General features: G+C 40.5%; 1 annotated feature.

Moving 5' to 3' along the window:
* Nucleotides 3,859-4,396: an enhancer, noted in NCBI's record as "NANOG hESC enhancer chr16:8287386-8287923 (GRCh37/hg19 assembly coordinates)". NCBI's record gives its function as "activates a minimal SCP1, AML or CMV promoter by ChIP-STARR-seq in naive H9 embryonic stem cells {active_cell/tissue: H9 hESC(naive)}" and the evidence as "EXISTENCE:reporter gene assay evidence [ECO:0000049][PMID:30033119]".

Here is a 23,892-nt window from a genome sequence, read left to right on the forward strand (position 1 = left end):
TTTGCATTGGCTTGCACGAAGGGAATGCATTGAGATACTCCCCATAGCTTAATACTCAACAAATAACAACAATAATAACTCTATGGGCCGGACACAGTCCTGGCTGTTTCACATCTATCGCCTCTCAATTGAAACCTCTTCACCAGGGTGTGGGTATCATCTCTGTCCTGGAAGAAACACTGGAGCCAATAAGCCAGTCATGAATGGACACTCAGTCTAGTGGCTGATAAATGCCGTGTCTCTACTTTTCTGTCAAAGCTCCTTTGAGTCCTTAGGAAATCAGTCTGCAAGGGGTATCCCATTTGCCCCTTTCTTTTTCCCCCTTTTTCTATCTCCAGGCCAAGATACTGACTACTTCACTATCATATCCCAAGAGATCAAAGCTGGGGAGGGCTTTATTCCAAGGAGGTGGTTCTTGTTAGAAATGGAGCTTCTCAAAGTCATCTGTGGGAGTATGGTTGGGTCTTTCAGATTCTTCACAGGCGAGATGCTATTAGCAAACAAAGTTTCATCTTTTTAGAGCTAACCACCTCTCATAACTTGGCTTCATGCATTATAATGCTAAAAGATCTTTCCTCCTCCCCACCAATTTGTCAGGAATAAAGCAATTTTGTGTGTATATATGATTAGGTGCCATTTGTATCCCCCTTGTTTGCAGAGGAGGAAACTGCAGCTCAGAGAGGTTAGAGGAGTTGTCCCCCAGGCTATTAGACTCCAAAGTACAGCACCTAGCAACATATTCATTTATTCCACACACATTAAGTACCTACTATCTACTGTCCTTTGTGTCTGGGATACAATGGATAGTTTGTGTTTGTTTGTTTTCTGTTTTTTTTTAGACAGAGTCTCACTCTGTCACTGGAGTGCAATGGTGCAATCTCAACTCACTGCAAACTCCATCTCCCCGGTTCTAGCAATTCTCCTGCCTCAGCCTCCTGAGTAGCTGGGACTACAGGCAAGCACCACCACGCCCAGCTAATTTGTGTATTTTTAGTAGACATGGGGTTTCACCATGTTGGCCAGATGGTCTCGATCTCTTGACCTTGTGATCCACCCACCTCGGCCTCCCAAAGTGCTGGCATTACAGGCGTAAGCTACTGTGCCCAGCCCAGTGGATAGTTTTTAAATGGTCCTAATTCTCAAAGTGCCTGCAGATGAATAGAAGGCTCGAGTAACCACAGAACAATTGATCTTAAAAGTCTATTGAATGGGCAGGGCACAGTGGCTCACCCCTGTAATCCGAGAACTTTGGGAGGTTGAGGTGGGTGGATCACCTGAGGTCAGGAGTTCGAGACCAGCCTGACCACCATGGTGAAACCCCATCTCTACTAAAAAATACAAATTTAGCGGGGCATGGTGGTGCATGCCAGTAATCTCAGCTACTCGGGAGGCTGAGGCAGAAGAATCGCTTGAACCCCAGAGGCGAAGCTTCTAATGAGCTGCAATGGCGCCGTGGCACTCAAGCCTGGGCAACAAGAGTAAAACTCAGTCTCAAAAAAAAAAAAGTCTATTGAATAAAGAATGAATGGATGAGCAAATTCTATGATAGGAGTGTGTTGGAGGTGCACTGAGAGCAAAGAGAGAGGAGTATAGCACTGACCATATAGCCAGGATCAGTAAATGCTGTTCTCTTTTCTCCCTCCCACCTCCCCATTTAATGAATAAGGCTTGAATGACTTGCGCAAGGTCACAGGTGTACTGAGTGACTTTCCCACCACCCTGGGGCTCTTTCCTGTGTTTACCACTCCGTCTTCCCAGTCTTGAAAAAGCTTTAGGGCCTTTGCTTCCAAACTGATGATAAAGAAGAGCCCACGCTAATCCCAGGGAACAATTTCTATTGACAGAGAGTTCGCCTTATAACCAGAGGAGTCAAGGAAATAAATTAAAAAGCAAAGACACCACTTAAGAAAATGGTGAGATCAGCCAGGCTGATCAGAGCAGCAGTGATATGATGAGTGGTGTCAGTTCAGCACTGTGAGAGCAAGAGGGGCCTTGAAATCTGCAGATAACAGCACAGGACGAGGCCTTTCTAGCAGCAGTGGGGAATACCAGGCCAGCCAAAGCCTAAGGCGTGCAAGGTGGTAGAGAAGAGGGACCCGCAGCTGTACGGAATCCACCTGCATCTCCCAAGCGCTTTTTCCTGCTGCTGCAGGTAGGAATAGAGCGGCCAGGAATTCAGAGTATTGACTCTACTCCCAGCCTCAAATCTGTCCTCTCTGCCCCTCTCCCTGGTGTCTTGTAAGTACTGAATAGAGCAAGTGACCCCAAAAGGCCAAAGGCCCACTCTTTTTCTTTATTCCATTCAGTCCCATACTGGATACCCACCACTCCTGATAGTATCCATAAACACAGATATCATTCTCTGGGACCTTATCAACAGCATCCAAACTGGTCTTCCTGCTCCTACATCTACCCTTCCGCAAAGAACTTCACATGGAGAAACTATTTCCAGAATCATCTTTTTAAAACCCTCTGTATTAGTCTGTTTTCACACTGCTATAAAGAATACTACCTGAGACTGTAATTATAAAGGAAAGAGGTTTAATTGACTCACAGTTCTGCAGGCTTAACAGGAAGCATGGCTAGGGGGCCTCAGGAAACTTACAATCATGGCAGAAAGTGAAGGGGAAGCAGGCATCTTCTTAAATGGCGACAGGCAGGCAAGCAAGAGAGTGAAGGAGGAAGCGCCAGACACTTATCAAACAACCAGATCTCATTAGACTCACTCACCATCATGAGAACAGCATGGGGAAACTCACTCCATGATCCAATTACTTTCCAACAGGTCCCTCCCACAACACGTGGGGATTACAGTTCAAGATGAGATGTGGGTGGGGACACAGAACCAAACTATACTAGTCCATTTTCATACTGCTAATAAAGACATACCCGAGACTGGGTAATTTATTTTAATGGATTCACAGTTCCACGTGGCTGAGGAGGCTTCATAATGATGATAGAAGACAAGGAGGACCAAGTCACGTCTTACACAGTGGCAGGGAAGAGAGAGCTTGTGCAGGGGAACTCCCGCCCCCATGATTCAATTACCGTCCACTGGGTCCCTCTCATGACAGGTGGGAATTGTGGGAGCTACAATTCAAGATGAGATCTGGGTGGGGACACAGACGCAGACTATACACCCTCCCTATTTAGAATCCTTCCTGGCTCCCCATGGACCTCTGGGTAACCCCTAGTCCTTTACCACAGGCCTATCCTTCATATTCCTCTACCTACCTCTCCAGACTCATCTCTTCCCTCTTTCTCTCCTGAAGTTTAAACCCTAGGCCCAACTTAACCTCGTTTAGTTCCCCTAACTTTTCCATCTGTTTGGAACAATCATCCAAACCCTCTGATTCCCTCTACACCCCCAAACTGAGCCCACACACTTACAAATCTCATTTCCCTGCTGACTCCTACTCACCCTTATGGTATCAGCAATTAAATGTCACCTCCTTCAAGGAGGACTCCCTACATTCCCATCCAGCCCTCAACCTGGATGAATTGCACCTCCTGGGAGCTCCCAAGGCACTCTGCATTTATTTCAGTTAAAGTATTCAGCAAAGTGCAACATCATTAGTAGTTGACTCATGTCTCCGCCAACTAAAGGGCAGGAACAAGGTGTCGCTCACCATTTTGTCTTACCACATTCATTCACGATCATATATTTGCACAATAATTACTTAGCACTTACTATGCCAGAACCCCATTCTAGGTCTAAGGAATATAGAAGTAAGATAGACACAGACTTAGTAGACCCTCAATAAGTACCTGTTGGGTCCCACTTTTTTTTTCTTTTTTAGAAAATATCTAGTGTAACCTCATTGTCCAGAAGGAAAAGCAGAAGCTCAGCAAATAGGACTCACAAGCTCAGATGTATGTGATGTGGCTGCCTCCAGAATCCAGGCCACCTGACCAAATCCAAAGGTTTCTCCGTAATGCAAAGCTCATCCATATCTCCAAAGACCAGACCAACACTGAGCTCCCTCTAAAACAGTGGTGGGAGGTTCAGGGAGGTCTCTCTGGCTGCAGTGACCTGATGTGATTACTCCTCTGATTGTTCTAAGCATCTCCCACTGTGTGTTTCCACATCAGTGACTCCATGAGTGACCTTGAGCAAATCGCTTACCCCTGCTGTGTCCTGTTGTTTCATCAACAGAGCAAAGTCTCATGTGAAGATCAAAGGATGTCATGACTGGAAAATCTACTGAAAAGAGTGAAAGGGATTCATGCTTTCTGAATCCACTTGGGCAGCTCCCACTGATTTAAACAAGGATATACAATAGGCAAATTAAGCTGGGCGCAGTGGCTCTTGCCTGTAATCCCAGCACTTTGGGAGGCAGAGGGGAGCGGATCTCGTGAAGTCAGGAGTTCAGGACCAGCCTGATCAACATGGTGAAACCCTGTCTCTACTAAAAATACAAAAATTAGCCGGGCGTGGTGGCAGATGCCTGTAATCCCAGCTACTCAGGAGGCTGAGGCAGGAGAATCACCTGAACCTGGGAGGTGGAGGTTGCAATGAACCAAGATTGTGCCACTGCACTCGAGCCTGGGCGACAGAGCAAGACTCTGTCGCAAAAAAAAAAAAACAAAAAATAAAAAATACACAAATTACCCAAGCCCTGAAGGCATGTTCACTTCCACTGTCCGCCATCTTTGGAGCGAAGGCGTCACCCTAATGGTGAAAAACCGGGGCTTGGAGTCAAATGACTGAGTCCCAATCCTGACTATGTTCTTTCTACACATGTAACCTCCTTGGGTTACTATACCTCCCTATGTACCAATTTCTTAATTAGGAAATAGGGATGATGACAATAGTGTGTAGGGTATGAGGTTGCTGTGAGATGACAGGAATAAAGAACTTAGCATAGTGCAGGGTGCTATGAACTACTGAATTCATCTTAATTGTCCAATCATTCCTTCATTCAATATTTATCTACCACTTACTGTGTATCAAAAACTGTTCTAGGTATGAGGAAAAGAGAGGTGAGCAAGACAGCCATAGCTCTACTCAGCAACTTATAATCTACTGAAGAGAAAAAATACCACAAAATTAACTCCACAAAATAGTATAAATTAAAATTCTGCTAGGTGACAAAAGAAAAATACAATCAGCTAGGAGAATGCAGAGTTGGATATACGATGGACTTGGAGAGATTGACAGGAGAAATAAAGTGCACCGTCCTTAAAATACTGCAGAAGTACAAATGTGTAAGAGACATCAATATGGGCAGGTAGGAAAGCGAAGGGAAAATAAGAACTTTATTAGACACCTTCTACAAGGCAGGCACTGAGCTAAGCATATTGAAAAAGTATCTTATTTAACCCTCACCTCTATCCCATAAGGTGATATTATCATCATTTTCCAGATGAGTAAACTGAGGCTCACCCAATAAGCATTTTTTTTCCTATGGTCATATGTCCTGTATGTGGTAGAATCACAATTTGGACCCAAGTCTGTTGTTTTTTTAATGCTTGCTGTATTCCAGTTTCTGCAGTTCAGAAACACAATAAAACTTACCTGAAAAATAACTAGGAGATCAGTCTGAATGGAGTAGACGATATTTATAGGAAATAGTAAAAATAATGGGGAATGCAATGCTTGGTGTCATACTGTGAAAGTCAGGCTAAGGGGTTTAAGTTTTTCTACACGTAATTGGGTGGGAATCATTAAAGGTTTTTGAAGATGAGTATCCGATAACCCCCATTCCACATCACAAAAGTATTGCAGAGATAGCCTGATGACTAAACCCTAGAACTTAGCTTTATCCCCAAAGTATACGTGGAACCAATTAAATAAGAAACTGAGAGCATATGGTTGGATTATGAGGATTCTAAAATAAAATAAAAATTATTTTCCTCCTTTCAAACAGGGTACTGAACTCAGCCATTCGTTCCTAAATAAAGTACCTCCTGCTGATAGGTTTTGCAGACAAGGAAAAGGGAGCTTTGCACAGAATATCTGAAGAGGTGTTGATTAGTCTTGAACACTGGGCTCTGCAACCTCCCTGGCCAGTTATACATCACTATGGGAGACACAAAGCTTGCCTAAGGCTCTGAATGCTAGAGCTGCTTGTCAGAAATGCTTTGGCAAGATATATATGACTTTTCATTTGCAAGAGGTAAAGTGTGTGTATGTGTGCATATGTAATATGTTGGGGGAAGGATTTACAGTTCAGAATTCCAGGCTGGGAAACCGTGTGAATTTCTATGCGTAAATCTACCAGCTGTTTCACAGGAGTTGTTTCTTGGGGGATCAACAGGTGATTTTATTATGTTTTTGTCCTTTCAGAAGCCCTAGTCATCAGCCAAAAGTTAGTGTCCAACAAAGGATGGAGGTAAAGAGAGAACATGTAATGAGCATCAGCTCTATAAAAGGCTCTGTCCTTGGTATTTTGCATACATCCTTTAATTAAGTAAATCACCTTATGATGTGAGTGTTTATTCACAAACAAAGTCTGTTTCTGGGATTCTGAGAAAGACAAGCCAGCTTCCCTGCTTTGGACAGGAACAAGGGCGGGTTGTGCCGATTGCTGCTGTCAGCCTTCTGTGGCTATGAACCAGCTTTGGGATGAGTGAAGGCTGAGCAAAGTGGAGAGGAAGAGAATCAGGGGTCTCCATGCCACGGGTCAGTGTCTTAATCAACCAGCCCTATATCCTGGCCTTTCTTTTGATTTCCAGTTAAGTGAGATGATAAATGTATGTAACATGTAAGCCAGTTTGAGGTCATTTTCTGTTACTTGCAGCTGAAAGCATTCTTCTAATGTAATAGATAAAAGGTGTGAAATTAACAGGAGACTTTCACCTTTATGAAAACCAGAGCTTCTCAATCTTGGCACTATTGGCATTATGGGCTAGATATTTCTTTTTTTTTTTTTTTTGTTGGGGTGGGACCGGTGCTGTGATATGCATTGTAAGGTGTTCAATTGCATCCCTGACTTGTATCCCCTAGATGCCAGTGACACCCTCTCCCCTAGTTGTGATAACCAAATATGTCTCCATATATTGCTAAGTGTCCCTGAAGGATAAAATTGTCCCCCATGAAGAGCCACTGATGAAAACCAAACTTTTAGTCCTTCATTAGTTAGATAATTTTAAAGAGATAATGTTTTTAATCAACCAGGCACCAGCAAGCATCTGTAGGACACTCAGCCTGTGCTTAGTAAAGGCCAGTCACAAATGTTACTTGTATAATGATCCTTATAATCATCAAAGAAAGATGCACTATGTCACTCGAACCTAATTAAATATGCTTATGGGCTTGGAATTGTTTTACACATTGCAAGGCATTTGGTAAACTACAAAGCTCTTTGTAATAATAAGAGGGCATTATAAAATGTCAAATACTTTTAAGATGATAAAGTGGCTTATTCAAAGAAATGGGTAAGCCACAAAAGGCTGTGTAAACTGTTAAGTACTTTGGAAAGAGGACAGCATCTTTTAAACTAATATAATAAGGTATATTGTAAACTGTGTTTGTAAACTATAAAGTGCTTTGTGAAACGGAAAGTACTTTGTAAATTACAAAGAAAAAGCTAAGATGGAGCACTTCAGATTGGTGTCACTCAGATGGAAAATGAATGCAGGCATTTTAGAAAGATTTTCAACTTAGGAATAAAGGCACCCTTCTTTTTTATAGCACCAAGAAAGACCAAAAAACAAAATTTAATTAGCCAGAAAGTTCTTTCCTCAAAACATTTACTTAGTTCTTTCACTTTTGTAGCAGATGAGTCATATCAGTCATACCCAGGTATTGGACGATTCAGACATTATGTTTTCGCATTGTTTCATTTGGAAAAGGACCGACCCTATAGGCCTTTCTGGAATGTGGGATTGATAAACACTAATCAATACTCCCTTAGCAAGTGGTGCATGCCTCTTTTCATTCCAAATTTCTGGAGATAAATATTTGGATTATAACTCTCATCTGAATGTTTGAAGCTGCTCCCAGCACTCTATTGTCCTTTTCATTTTTCTGTCTTAGCCAAGCAGGGGAATGTACCTGTTGAGATTCAGCCATTATGCCTTTGGAACCTGGCATTTTTCAGGAGGAGCCATGCACCACTATCACGGGGGCAAAGAGCACTAGGCAAGGCTGGCAGAGTATTCTCATAGCCTCAGTTAATTGTTTTAGGAGCAGGTCAGTCACACCACCGTGGGTATTCAAACTGGAAGGAACCTTACAAAGAACTCAGTCTAGTAATTTCCATAGTATGTTCCCTGAGGCCCTAGAGTTCTACCGAGTGAACTGAGGGTCCCCAGAAGGTGGGGGAAAACTAAACTAGAAGAAGCACTCTGTTTTCACTAGAGAAGTTCCTCTTTGATTTGTCCTGTATAATGCAATTTTATATAAAGTTTGGCCTGAAATGAAGTATTTTGCAGAAATAATTGGAAGGAAAATGTTGCTCGTTCAAATAAACTATTTTACAGATGAGGAAAGTGAAGCTCAGGGTTCTTACCTGTTTTGCCAAAGATTACACAGGTTTTAAAGATGTGAAGCTGGATTCTGGATCCCTAACTCTTGTCCAGCCTTCTCTCCAAAGCTGTTATCATTTTCCTGCTCTGCAAACCTTTGATGGAGTTGGTGAAGAGTCATGTTTTCACGGTCACTGCCTGGTCCAATACAACTAACAAACAAACTGGTGGCTTTGTGGTTGCCAAAGTTTTTCTTTCCTGTTGCTACTCCCCTTCTGTGTTGAAAGGCAAATTTGCCTAGGATATTTACAAAGCCTCATGGAAATATTCAGAATCGGCAAAAGACTCGTGTCCATATTTGGGGATGCTTCTCGAATTGTGGGATCCAGAGAGGATAGAAAATTTGTGTCCCAGGGAAGAAAAATAAGAGCAATACGTTGTCAGATTTGTGCAGCCTCACGGGGATCCACACCTGCCCCTATTCACTAGAGATTTTCATCCTGCCTCTGTGGCATGTGTTCAGCAAGTCAGGATATGTTTTAAATGGGTCTGCTGTCTTTCCACCAATCCAGTGACAGATATGAACGAATAATATAAATTCTCTACCCATTCCTTGGCATTTATTTCAATGTAAGTGTATTTTTTTCCCCAAGAATAAAGCCCAATAGTAATTTATCAAGAAACAAATCATTTTTTCTTGGCAGTGAAGTCTGCAAAATTCCCATTTTTAGGGCCTTAAATCTCCCTATTTTGACAGGAGTAAGAAAGCATTAGAAGCTTTGATTTCACTGGATCATACAAAATAGTTTCTCATAATTATCCTTTTGGATGATATATGTGTGTCTTTTCCCCCTTCTTATTAAACCCGAGGTCTCCATTTTTCAGCCAGCTGTATTACTAAATTAAATTGCCTTTTGTTGTATTCAAGTTAAGCACTTTGCCGAAAGCTTTTCTTGTTCAGGAAAATAACATTTACCCAATATGTGCCCATGTTTTAATGTTGGAATTTACTGTTCACGATTGTTTAGTTTGCCAGGTAATTTGAGGATATTGTTTGTTTTAATAGGAATAATGAATCACTGTAATTTAGTATAGTATCTTGAAGTACAGTATCAAGGAGGTAGGAAGGGGAATATTGAGGACCCATCACATGGAGAAAATGATTTTTCCCACTGCAAAAGCAGATGGGGAAAAGGTTAGAAAAAGTTACTGGAAGACATAAACGGCTGTGAGGATGTTCTATGGTCTTGCCTGCTTTTCTCAAGTGGAAAACAATCTAGGAACAGGGTGGGTTAGGGTTGAACTTGTCTAGTTTGCTGCTTGTCAAGGTTTTGGAGATCTTCGTAATGAAATTATCTCCTTCCCCTGCCTCCACTCAACAAATTGGGTTCTGTTCTGAAGTCTCTATTAATGTGGATTTAGAAGTCCTGAGTTCGAGCCCAGACACCACCATTTATGAGGACATGAGCTTGTCATTTCTTTTCTCAGGGTCTTAGTACCCGCATCATAAACTAAGGGTAATGATGGCAGCCATACTCATGCCACATGGTTCTTGTGAGAAACAGAATATGCATGTATGCAACCAAGAATGTAACCACTTAATGTGTTCACCTTACCTGCTGCGTAGACAGAGCCGATTCATCAAGACAAGGGAGTTACAATAGAGAAACAGTAATGCTTTTTGGTTCCATTATATTTTTAATGAAATAATAAAATTTTGGTGAGTAGTTAAGGGAACAAATTGAAATGTCTAATTACACCAATATCTCTAATACTAAACAAAAAGGCTAGAAGTGCTTCCCAAACTTGATTGTATACAAAAATAACCTAGGGCCTTCTCATTTTATTTACTTATTTTATGGAGATGGGGCCTGGTTCTGTCACCCAGGTTAGAGCACAATGGCATGATCATAGCTCACTAGAGCCTCAAACCCCTGAGCTCAAGCGATCCTCCCACCTCAGCCTCCCCAGTAGCTGAGAATACAGGTATGTACCACCACCATGCTGGGCAAATTAAAACAGTTTTTAGTAGAGATGAGTTCTCTCACTGTGTTGCCCAGGCTGGTCTCAAACTCCTAGCCCAAATTCAAGCTGAGCACGGTGTGTGGGAGACCAGAGTTTTGTTATTACTCAAATCTGTCTCCCTGAGCATTCAGGGATCAGAGTTTTTAAGGACAACTCGGTGGGTGAGGGGAAGGCAGTGAGCCAGGGGTGCTGATTGGTCAGGGATGAAGTCATAGAAAGTCAAAACTGTCTTCTTGCGCTGAGACTGTTCCTGGGTGGAGTCCACAAGATCAGATGAGCCAGTTTATCCATCTGGTTGGTGCCAGCTGATCCATCAAGTGCAGCGTCTGCAAAATATCTCAAGCACTGATCTTAGGAGCAGTTTAGGGAGGGTTAGAATCTTGTAGCCTCCAGCTGCATGACTCCTAAACCATGATTTCTAATCTAGTGGCTAATGTTAGTCCTACAAAGGCAATCTAGTCCCCAGGAAAGAAGGAGGTCGGCTTTGGGAAAGGGCTGTTATCATCTTTGTTTTAAACTATAAGCTGAGTTTCTCCCAAAGTTAGTTGAGCCTACGCCCCAGAAAGTACAAGACAGCTCGGAGGTTAGAAGCAAGATGGAGTCAATTAAGGTAGATCCCTTTCATTGTCTCAGTTATAATTTTGCAAAGGTGGTTTCAAGAGCGTCCACTTGAATGTAAGGGACCACCATTTTTTTCTTTTTTTCGACGGAGTCTCGCTCTGTTGCCTAGGCTGGAGTGCAGTGGCGTGATCTCGGCTCACTGCAACCTCCTCCCGAGTTCACGCCATTCTCCTGCCTCAGCCTCCTGAGTAGCTGAGAATACAGGTGACCACCACCACGCCTGGCTAATTTTTTGTGTTTTTGGTAGAGAAGGGGTTTCACCGTGTTAGCCAGGATGGTCTCGATCTCCTGACCTCGTGATCCGTCGCCTTGGCCTCCCAAAGTGCTGGGATTACAGGCGTGAGCCACTGGGCCTGGCCCATGATTTTTAACATTATTAGCCTCCATATCGGATACCCCCAAGGCAAGAGAGGAGGGCCTCTGTCTGAAGCCTCAGTTTCTTTATCTACATGTGTAAAGAAGAAGCTAAACTAGATGACTTCACATTTCCTCCACATTTGATTTGCTCTGACACAGTGATGGCATAAATTTCTTTAGGAAACTATTCTGATGATCAACTACCCTTGTCATCTCTCCTTCCTCTCCTGAGAATGTGTGGTCAGTACCTTTAGAACATTAGAAACGAATCGCTGTGTCTCAAAGATGCCCCAACAGTCTCCTGTGTGAGGGGAAAATGAGTCCCTTGGTATTCTTTGATTATTTGGCTCTCTGTCTTTATTGTGTGGGAGTCAGATGAACCTGGGTTCAAATTCCAGTTCTGCCACTTACTAGCTGATGAAACTGGGTAAATCAGTTAAGCCCTCTGAGGTTGAATGTGTTCTGTGATAAAAAAGATATGGACTTCTTAAGACTCCCAGACCTAGGGCATCAAGTTTAAATTAAGCTTTTTGAATTTATGTAAAATGCAAGCTCTCCACACTATGAGTCGTGGAATTTCATCTCTTTCTGCCTTTAAAGAAGCTCTTTAAAGAAGATGAGTCACTCAATGAATTCATGAGGCCTTAACATCAAAGATGTCTGCTTTGCGTGTAGAGCAGAAAAACTTAAGTAGTGGTCAAGATAATGGGATATGCAGTTTTAAAAAGAATACCTAATATTGAATCCTAGGTTTATTACAGTATGACAAAGACACCTCAACTTCTTAGTTCCATTTGTCTATTTTTAAATGGCTATAAATAGTAGGTATCTCATAGACTACTATGTGAACTACATGATGTAATATCTATAATTCTCCCAGCCTAGTGTAGCACCTGGTAGTCTCAATGAATGGTTACTACTAACAGGTGAAGCAAAGGCATGTAATAATTTACACTGGGCTTTGGAGCCAAGCAGGGCTGAGTCTGAATCTCACCTATGCTGTGGGACTAAGACAAATAACTTAGAATCACAGTTCCTTTTCTAAACCTAAAAAAAAGAAAATGACAATAATATGCTATCATGTGGATTTGTAAAGACTAAATGTGATAACACAAAACAAATGCTTACAATGGGCCATCCAGGGACTCTCTGATACTCTTTCTAGCCCAGAAGGCAAAGTGGGTTAAGGCTGTCAAGCCAGGGCCAGAGGCGCAGAGACTGGCTCTCACCTCCACCTGCAAAGAATAAGCTGAGGGCAAGAGTCATACGGGATCACTTCTGGAGGGAGCGCTGGGTCAACCATAGCAGGCTTTCTTTCAGCACAGTAGAAGAAAGGCAGAAAATCAATGGCCTATACTTCTACATCAAGAAGTCAGAAAAGGGAGAGGAAATTAAATACAAAAGAAGCAGAAGAAATTTAAAAAAAAAGAAAAAAATTAAGCAATCAGTAAAATAGAAAACATTAAAAAAAAGAAAATCAACACAACCCAAAATTGAGCTTTGAAAGAGATAATAAAAATGGATAATCCTCTAGCAAGTCCGATCAAGCATAAAAAGAAAACACAAATTATCAATATTAAGAATTTTAAAAGGGAAAACTAAATGAAAAACCAAAAACGAGAATCCAACATAAGACAAAAGAAACTCATTTACTTAATTTTTTAGAAAAAAAACTTTTAAAATCATGATTGGATTAAAGAAGGGCACATGAAAATCCATGGAATTGAATCAAATCACTAAAGAGAAAATATATAAACTTAAATGAATTTATTACGATAACAAAGAAGATTGAAAATAGTTTGAATAATTTCTAATTCAGGAAGGTAGAAAAAGAAGCAAAAAAGAGAAATCTTTTAGGAAATGTAAGAATAAAATGTTTTAAATTAAAAATTAATAAAATTGAAAACAAAAAAATTTTTTGATCATAAAAGTAAAAATGTTGGTTTTCTAAAAAGGCCACAGGCTAGGCAAGCATTTGGACCCTGACTCAGCAATAGAGGGAGAGATTTACAAAAGTAATCATGAAAAACAAAAAAAAGAAACCCTACACGCGTCTAAAGGGAAACAATATTAAGAGAATACTGCGAATAACTATACATAAACAAAATTTAAATATATAAAAGCATTTGCTTTAAAATTATAAATGACCAAGATTGCCCTAGAAGGAAAAAAAAATTAACAGCACAAAATTTAAGTAGCTGTCAAAGACCTACTCCTTAAAAATAAAGAAACAAACAAAACAAAGCAACAAACAAACAAAGCAACAACAACAAAAAAACACAAGGCCCTGTCAGTATTCAGGTCACTATTCTTTTCCCTTCAAAAATGCACATAAATTTCACATTCTGCTTCATAATAGAAACAGCTGATTAAACAGTTTGATTAGATGTAAAACGATCTTTTAAACGATTTAATTTATATACAATTAGTCATGCTTTAGAAAGATGTATTGAAGTTATTCTGGAGTCCTGCATAGCCTCAGCAAAACACCAATTCTCCTCCATGAACATGAAGACCCAGCATGATTATCATGACGTATAGAAGATATTGGGGACTTTCAGCCCCTCAAGCCTTGCTAAGTCCTCACTAAGTTTCCTAGAAGGGCATTCTGGTCTTCACACCACAAAGTATGCGTGCCAGGCATGTGAATTCACCTGTGCAGGACATGGTAAACAGAGCGGAGTCATGCTCCTGTTTGTCCTGATGAATCCAATAAATGGATGTTGATGCAACACTCTATATCAGCAAGGTGATTTTTAAAAAAGGACTGTTTCTCTAGAACTCTGCAGGAAGAGGTGCCCATTGACTCTCACCAGCATGAAACCCACATTGGGCATGCCAGCCTTCCACATCTCATTAGCAGGCTTGGCCAGTGCTGGGAAAGGTGTTTGATCAATGCTGTATGTGGTATTGTTCATGAATGTGGCTGGGTGTGCAAATGTGTGATTTCGTTTGCCATGTACAATGGAGGAGTGTGTGGGCACGTGGTGTATATCCATGTGTATTTATGTTGGTGCATGTATAACATGGTTTATGCATGTGTGTATTCATATGTATGCATGTAGTGTTCCTGTTTGTGTACGTGCACATGTGTGTGTTTGTAACAGGTGCACAGGCTTAGCAGAAGTCCAGTTATTCCAGATCAATGCTCAGCGGTCCCATCACTAACAGGGTGCCTGCCTTTCTTCCCGTCACTCTCTCAGGGGCTGTGGCTGTCTCTTTGTCCTGATGGTGATAGATAAGTCCTCCGAGAACATTTTTCACAGCCTCCGTGAAAGCAATGGAATAATCTGCACCAAACTGCGGGAAAAATGGGCTCCTCTTCACATACGGTGGTTTCCTCAAGCTGATAAGCTGGCACTCAGGGGTGTTGACTTAAAAATCAGCAGATTTTTATATTTCACGATGTGTTTGAGCTTTATCAATGTCTGCTCACCCTTTGTTCTTGAGGTTTTATTACACTTGCCATCAGTTCTGACAGCCTAAACAGAACATGATCCGGACAGTTTATTCTTTAAATGAATGATCCTTACATCTTCTGACATCCTTTTACATTCTCCCTGAAATGTGCTCTTCAACATCTGGCAGAGTCCGTTGTAGCTGCCAGAACTTTCTTAATTCAATAATCAAAACAGGTGCCAAAGAAGTAAATCTATGACTGTCAATTTTGCAAGTCCTGCTCTTCCTTTCCACCTACCTAAATTGTTTGAAAATGAATGTCAGCTCCCTGCTCAGCCTATTAGAGGCTTCAGGAAAAAAGGGGGAGGAGGACCCCCACCACCCCAACCGTGATGCTCAGAGAGAATATTTTAAAACTTCTTCTAGAAACGAAGCTTGGTTTTATTCTGTTTTTTGTTTAGAATGAACAAAGGTTAGGCAGGGCTCACAGAAGAAGTCCATTTTTATTTCCTACAAGACTGTGATTCTCAGGGCATGTTGGAAGATTTCCCTGCATCAGAATTACCTGAAAATCTTTAAAATTATATATTTCCCAGTCTTGACACAGATGCACTGATTCAAAACCTGGGGTGGGAGAGCAAAAATGTGCATTTTTAACCAGCCCCCTGGGTGATTCTAGACCTTGTAAAGTTTAAGGTCAACTGATCTAAACATTTTTACCCAAAAAAAAGAAATAAACAAAAATCTAAGAGGGGTCACTTACAAAAGGCAATTCAATTTAGTCTCTCCTTCTCTCCCCCTTTGAGGAATGTAAAACAGTCAAGTGAGTTGATTTAAAATGAGGATTGGGGGCCATAAAACTTTATTCAGCAAAGACAATAAATCCTGAAAAATAAATTCCAGTTTTATTTTATGTTCAGTTAGGGAGTGAGTGAAAGAAAAAGGGAAACGGTGAAGAAGGAAAGAAAAAAAGGAGAGAATAAGAACAGGGGAACTAGCTTTTTTGAATAATTTTTATGTAATAGAAATTACAGGCACTGTTCTAAACATTTTATATAGGTTATCAAGTTTTATCCAAGGATGAGAAAGAGAGAGACAGAAATGAGGAAAAATGGAGAAGAAAGATAGTATACGACAAACAGATATAGACAAAGAAAGGGACAGACAGAGAGAGAAAAACAAAGTTACAGAGTCAGAGAAAAATGCACAGAGATACCCAGAGAGATACAGAGAGAAAATGAGAACCACAGAGACACAGGGAAAAAGTTAAATACTGAATTCGTTTGCTAGGTCTGCCATAATAAAGATTCACAAACTGGTGGCTTAAACAACAGAAATTCATTTCGTCATAGTTCTGGAAGCTAGAAGGTGTTGGCAGGGTTGGTTTCTTCTGAGGCCCGTCTCCTTGGTTTGTAAATAGCCATATTCCCCTTGTGTCTCACATGTTCTTCCCCCTGTATATGCCTGTGTCCAAATTTTCTCCTCATCAGGACATCAGTTATATATTATCCGTGGAGGGTCTTGACTTCAAGTCATTCAGGTTCTTGGCATTTTGAACAAAGAATTGGACAAAACACACAAACAAAGCAATGAAAGCACAGATTTATTGAAATGAAAATACACTCTACAGAGTGGGAGCAGGCTTGAGCGAGCAGTGGTTACAGAATTTCCTGGGGTTGAAATACCCACTAGAAGTTTCCCATTGTTTACTTGCTTTGTACCCTATGTAAATGAAGAGGTGGCCCACAAAAGAAGTGGTAAAAGGCAACCAATCAGAGGCACAAGTGAAGTTACAAAGTTACACCTCTATGCAAATGAAAACTACGCCTGTCATCAGCAATTGGTTGCAAGAGGGGATGAATCAGAGATACTTTCCTTTTCTCATCTGCAATGCAGAAGGTGGAGGGGGGTGGTGCAATGGGGGAAACCTCTGTCCTCTTGTTACTGGGGCATGATTATATTTTATTTAGTTCTAGGAAGTCAATGTAGACTATTACAAAGAATAATGTAAAGCCTTAGGTTCTCTGCCTCCAGACCCTATAGTACTACCTGAGTACTGGATAAGAGCCCATCCCAGTGACCTCACTTTAATTTCATTAACTGTAAAAACCCTGTCTCCAAATACAGTCACATTCTGGGGTACTGAGGGTTAGAACGTTAGCATATGAATTTTGGAGAGCAAAATTTATTCCTTAACAGATACCAAGAAACAGAAGAAAAGATAGACCAAACTAAGGGATTGAGATAAGACTACTCAAAGAGGGAAAGATAGGAGGAGAGGCAGACCTGAAAGGAGAATCCTTGAATAAATTTTGAAGTCACTCTTAGTTGGGATCCCACTCTTTCGTCTGCTTAAGCAAAAGATTTCACAGTGTGAAACAATTTTGCTTCAAAGCAGTCCTAAAGAACTCCCTATTCTTTTGAAATTTACCTTCGAGTTATAATATTTTCAGTGATTTATAGGAGATTTCCTGTAGCACCACACACAATGAATATTTAGAGGTTTTTCAGACAGTGTGTAATAGGGCCACTAATATTATATTATTAATAAGCCTCCAGTGTAGAAAAAAAGAAAATCTGTACCTGTTTTCCATTTTCTAGAGTTAGAGGAAAAAGAACAATAACTGAAAATCCTAAGGAATTCTTCCACTTCCTAGACATGTAAGCACAAATTTGGAATGCTGGGTAGAAGACTCCCCAACAGGTAAGAAAGTGTCATGCAGTAATTATTAAACATTTATGTGTACAAGAATCTTCTGAGGAGTTTACTAGAAATGTAGTTTGGTGTTAGAAATCCTTAATGAATAAAAATACTGTAGTGTGTGTTATTCTGCATTTTTACTAGCAATCCAGGGTATTTGTACCAGTGGTCACCAAATAAAATGTTGAGAAACCCAAGATAAATAGAATGAAAAGGCAACCTACAAACTTTTTTAAAAATTGCAAACTATATGTTTCATAAAATGTTAATCTAAAGAATATACGAGAACCTCCTATAACTCAATAGGAAAAAAAAACCCAAAAACTAACAACCAGATTTTAGAATTAAGGACTTGAATAGACATTTGTCCGAAGAAGACAGACATACAAATAGCCAGCAGGTATATGAAAGGAGGTTCAGTGTGACTAATCGTTAGGAAAATGCAAATCAAAACCACAGTGAGAAACCTCACACCTTTCAGGATGACTATTAGAAAGAAAAAGATAAATGTTGGTGATAACATAGAGAAGTTGGAGTTCTTGCACACTGTTGGTTGGAATTCAAAATGGTACAACTGTGAAATGGTAGTTACAGGGCTGGCAAGAGGAATAAATGGGGGATTATTAATCAGCAGACACAGAGATTTCAGTCAAGCCAGGGGAAAAAGCTCTAGAAATCTGTTGAACAACATTCTACCTATAAACCTTAATACTTAACAATGAATACTTAAAAATGTAAGAGGGTAGATGTCCTGTTAAGTGTTCTTACCACAGTAAAATAAAATTAAACAAAAATAAATATAGGAATGCTGGAAAGGCTGAGAGCTTGGGGATTGGTCAGACTTTGACTCTGACAGTCATCATCCCTGTAACTCAGTGACTCCTGCTCAGTTCCTTATCTGCACCGTGGGGATATGGATGTGGCTCAAAGGACTGTTGAAATGATTATATAAAACTGAGTAAAACGAGGTGCTTAGCACACAGACACACAGTAAATACAAGACACTCTAAAATTCTAATAAATTAATGCACCTGCCCACTACAACCCTTGTTCAATCAGACATTTTATTTAAAACATATAATAAAATCGTATTACCTTTTTGTGCCCTAATGTAAATGCTGAAAAAAAAAACAATTTTTAAAAAATTATATGGCCTTCATTTTATACAGACCAAAAAAGAAAACCTCATGAGTGGAATTTTCCAAGACCAGAGTCCACTCTTCTAGTTGACATGTGAGTTGCTCTGAGCCATGTCCTCTCCCAGAATATCCACACATAGACCCATCCATGTCATGCAGGCAGACTGCATGTCCTCTCTGCTACTCACTTAGGACCATAGTTCATGATTTATTTTCTTTGTACTCCCAGGAAGTCAACCGGCAGTCTTTGGGATCCCTTCCTTGTCTCCATGTTGTGTTATGAATCAATATATTCATATTTGATTTAAAATTCATCGTGCTTGTGGCATTCTTCTAGTAATGCAGTGCTGCACAAGGAGTGGAATTATACTTCACTGTTCTTCTCTAAAGCACAGATTTCAGAATAATAGTTAAGGACTTTGAGAAACATCTCATGACACTAGGGTTCTGTGTTCAAATGTTCAAGAGAAGAGGATATTTAGAAAAGTTACAGTAGATTGGTGGAGTTTCATTCAAGTCACCAATTGTCAGGAAAATCACCAATGACACATTGCTACTCTCATTACTTTAAGTAGCTGTCACTATTGTCAGTATTTATTACCATTCCTACTATTATTGCTGCTACTATAGTAATAACTATTAATATTAGTAATCTCAAAAATAATAGTGAACATTAACATGTGCTTCCTACATGTCAAGCACTGCATTGATTGCTTTGTCCATATTCTCCTTGTTGAGTCCTCAAAATAAAATTAGGAACTGCTTCTATTTCTCTGATGGAAAATGGAGGGTGAAAGAAGGTGGATAACTTGACCGTAGGTCACAGAGCTAAGAAAGTGTTGGATTTCCAATCCAGGTTTGCCTGACTTCCATTGCACTAGCTCTCTTACAATGCCTGGAGTGGGAGCACCCTCTTTCACATTAAAAACTAGGCAGACTGTCATGTACTAGTAGTTGCACTTTTAGTGTCTGTCAGTTCAGAAGATTCACAGTCCCAGAAAGCTACTGTGAATTCTGAACATGTGTAAATGACTTTGCATTTTGCTAATCATAGCAACATCTGTATACACCTATCCACGTGGCATGTTTACTAGAGCCAAATCATCACTGTAATGGCTGCAGATGAATTCAGGGAAATGTTTCCATGATGCCAAAGCCTTCAGCTTCAAATGGGCAAAAGGATGCTGTAGCCAGGGATAGACTTTTTAAACTTTATTCAGGCATATTTGGCAATTAAAAATTGTATATATTTAAAGTGTACAATTTGATGATTTGATATGCATATACAAGCTAAATAACTTGTTTGTTACCTCAAATAGTTACCATTTCCATGTGAATGTCTCACACGCACACACACACAAGCACACACACTCTTAAGATCTACCCTTTTTGCAAATTTTAAGCATGCAGTAAAGTTTTGTTAACTGCAATCACTAGAATTCAGCTAATACAACTCCCCTGGTGCCATTGGAGCAGACTGAACCAGAGAGGTGAAGGCCATGAAATAAATTAATGGCAGAGAAGAGTCTGGAAGTCAGTCTCCTGATTCCTAATTCAACACTCTTTCTAGTATTATCACAAATGATCAAATCTTACATGCGTGTTTCAGGATCCTAACTACTCAGTGTCCTCTTCTGTGCCTGTCCCATGGGGTTGCTATGATTATTACTAAGGGCAGAGGTCAAAACAAAAGCTATAGCCCAAAGGCCAAATCCAGCCTGCCACCTGTTTCGTAAATGAAATTTTATTGGAACACAGCCACGCCCATCCACTTATAAGTTGTCTATGGCTGCTTTCCCACTACAATGTCAAGGTTGAGTAGTTGCTACAAAGACCAAGTGGCATCCGAAGCTGGAAATATTTTTGATTTAGCCCTTTGCAGAAAGTTTAATGAGCAGTGATGAAAGGTGCTGTGAGAAAAATTGCGTTTGCATCCCCTGATCTGCCAGCAAACACTCCAGAATGTGTGGGGACCTTGTTGCATTAGATATTTACAACAAAAAGGTATCCAGAATATCCAAAAACTTGTATGGAGGGGGAAGAAGAAGAATAAAAGTAACCTTTCTGAGAATGGAAAAGTGGGGTTTTCATGCTGCCAGAGTCCCCTGAAGAAAACTCTTGAGGGTCTTGGGAATCCGTAACACCCTCTGAAGAGAAATTGTTATCTTCTTCTCAATGCCTCATCTCCATGAGTTCCCATAACTTTACCATTCAAGAAACTCTATGTGGTCTATTCATTGCTCTACATGAAATAACAACTACTGAAGTTTCAATAATAAAAGACAGAATACATGTGATAGTACCATATAATCCTACAATATCAGGATTTATCCAGACAACATTGGGAAACAAGCCCTGGGAAGATAAGATATGGAAAGAGTCCCTGACTTAGGGTCAAAGTCTCAGTGTAGAATCTCCGGCAGACCCTTCGCTCCGCTGTGTGACCTTGGATGAGTCACTCAATCTGTCTGAGAGTTCCCAGCTGTGTTGTCTCTGCCTGGAACAGGATAGCTGGATCAATCCAAGTCTTTCTAGCCTCCCATGGCTGCGTCTTCCTAACTTTCAAGTATAAGGTCAAATTGTACCTCCTCAGAGAGGCCCTCACTGCCTCCCCACAATCATCTACTTCTCCGCTGGCCAGTGATCACCTCATACCATCCACGTTATTACATGTTGAGAGTTACCTCGTTTACTTGCTTGTTTGTTTTCATTGTCTGCCCCACCTAGAATTTTAGTTCCACAAGGACAAGGACCTTTGTGTTATATGTACCCTATTATCAAAACTTAAAAATATACCTGGCATGTAGTAAGCACTCAAAGAGTACTTGTCAAATGAGTAAGTGAATGAAGGTGTGCATTAATGAATTACTTACCTCACTAGACTGTCAGGAACATCTTACAAGAGAGTGCTTTGTGAGCTGTTAAATGGATATAACCAAGAAATTATTATTTCATCCCAGTGCCCATTTGAGAATTAAATATTCCTACCCAAGCAAAAGAAATTGGAACCAAAATACTCACTAGATCTTAAATATGACAATATACTGTTCATGTACTATATTTAATCCTTTCCAAGGCTACAGAGATTTCTGAAAGTGTAAGTCAAGAATTTATATTTATAGGCTTAATACACATGTGTGCGCACACACACACACACACACTGGCTTTAGCCTTCACAATTACACTAAATTATCTTACCTCTTGTAACCCTTAAGCACGGAGGAGCTAATTGATGGAAGACATCCTCCCCTACCTTGAACACCAGTGTATCTGTCCTTACATAGAACCTGATTTGTAGAATGGGAGGAGTTGAACGTGGGCTGAAAGGCAAGCTGTATGTTTCTGTGTTTGTGTTCAAAGTTCCTAGAATGGCCATTTCTCCTCTGCATACTACATCTGGGCTTCTTTTGCTTGTATCACCCCTTCCCAGCCCTGTTTCCCCTCCCCTAATTCTTACTCATTCACTTCATTTTGGTTAACAGCCCAGTCATCAGAAAGCCCCTTCTGACCTTTACTCTCAGGTGGAGTCAGACTCCTCATTGTTTTTTTTTTTAATTTTTTAACTTTTAATTTTTGTGAGTACACAGTAGGTGTCTGTATTTATGGGATACATGAGATGTTTTGGTACAGGCATGCAATGTGAAATAAGCACATTATGGAGAATGGGGTATCCACATCCACCCCCTCAAACATTGATCCTTTGTGTGACAAATAATTCAATTACACTTTTAAAGTCATTACAATTAAGTTATTATTGACTATAGTCATCCTCTTCTGCTATCAAGTAGTCTTATTCATTCTTTCTAACTATTAGAACCTTCATTATACATAATTTGTCACTGGTTTTAATCACAGTTCTCCAGTAAAAACACAAGCAATAGGATATATGGAAGAGGAGATTGATTACAGGAATTGGCTCATGCAATCACGGAGGTTGAGAAGTCCCAGAATATGCTGTCTGCCAACTGGAGAACCAGGAAACCTGATGGTATAATTCAATCTGAATCCAGAGGTCCAGTATCCGAGGGCAGGAGAAGATGGATGTCCCAGCTCACAAAAAGAGCAAATTCACCCTTCCTCCACCTTTTTGTTCTATTTGGACCCTCAACAGATTGAATGATGCTCAATCACATTGGTGAAGACGACGTTCTTTACTCAGTCTACTGATTCAAATGCTAATCTCTTCTGGAAATACCTCACAGCCATGCCCAGAAATAAGGTTTTACCAGATATCTGGGTATCCCTTAGCCAAGTCAAGTTGACTCAAAAAACTAATGATGACACCTCCCTACTATGCTTTAAAATAATAATGAACTTAATAATTTCTGTAACTTCAACATTCCAGTCTCTGTTGGAATCTCTTTTCAACAATCCCTCAGGAAAGGAATATATTTGAATGGATTTCCAACATCATAACCTATGATGGTCCGAAGTTCTCTCCCCCGGATTTCTGAGAGTCCCAGAACTCATTTCTTGGTGCTTTTCTCTGTTTCTCTCATGCATGAACTTGAACAACCGCAAACTAATGTACTCTGCACTCATCCTGCACAAAAGTCAGCCTCTCTTGTGGCTAACACAAGAGGCCAATGCACTACCAGCAGCCCATGCTAGTTACTGGTATAAGTTATGGAAGGCTTGGGAGACACACAAGGAAGGTCTGTTAATCACCATTTCTGTTTGTGATAATAAGCAGACCCTCCATTACCTCATTGTGTCCCCCCCACCAACCTACCCTATCCACCCCCCTCTCATCTTGGCATAAACAGAAATTCTTTTCTTATGGGAAGGGCAGTTAATCCAACTCCTAGGTGATTCCTGCCCTCAAACCGGAGTCATCAAGTTTTTTTAAGTAAATATAATACTCATTTTTTTTAAGCCCAAAACTCCTTTCAGAGTTGCTTTGCTCTGGGATTTTTTTTTTCCTCAAGACAGAGTCTTGCTCTCACTCTGTCACCCAGGCTGGGGTGCAGTGGCCCAATCTCAGCTCACTGAAACCTCTGCCACCCAGGTTCAAGTGATTCTCATGCCTCAGCCTCCCAAGTAGCTGGGATTACAGGTGTCTGTCACCACACCCAACTAATTTTTGTCTTTTTTGTAGAGACAGGGTTTCACATGTTGGCCAAGCTGGTCTCAAACTCCTGACCTCAAGTAATTGGCCTGCCTCAGCCTCCTAAAGTGCTAGGATTACAGGCATGAGTCACCATGCTTGGCCTGCTCTGGTTTTAATGGTTTTTCCAA

The sequence above is a fragment of the Homo sapiens genome, chromosome 16 (assembly GCF_000001405.40).
Source record: "Homo sapiens chromosome 16, GRCh38.p14 Primary Assembly".
Lineage (NCBI taxonomy): Eukaryota > Metazoa > Chordata > Mammalia > Primates > Hominidae > Homo > Homo sapiens.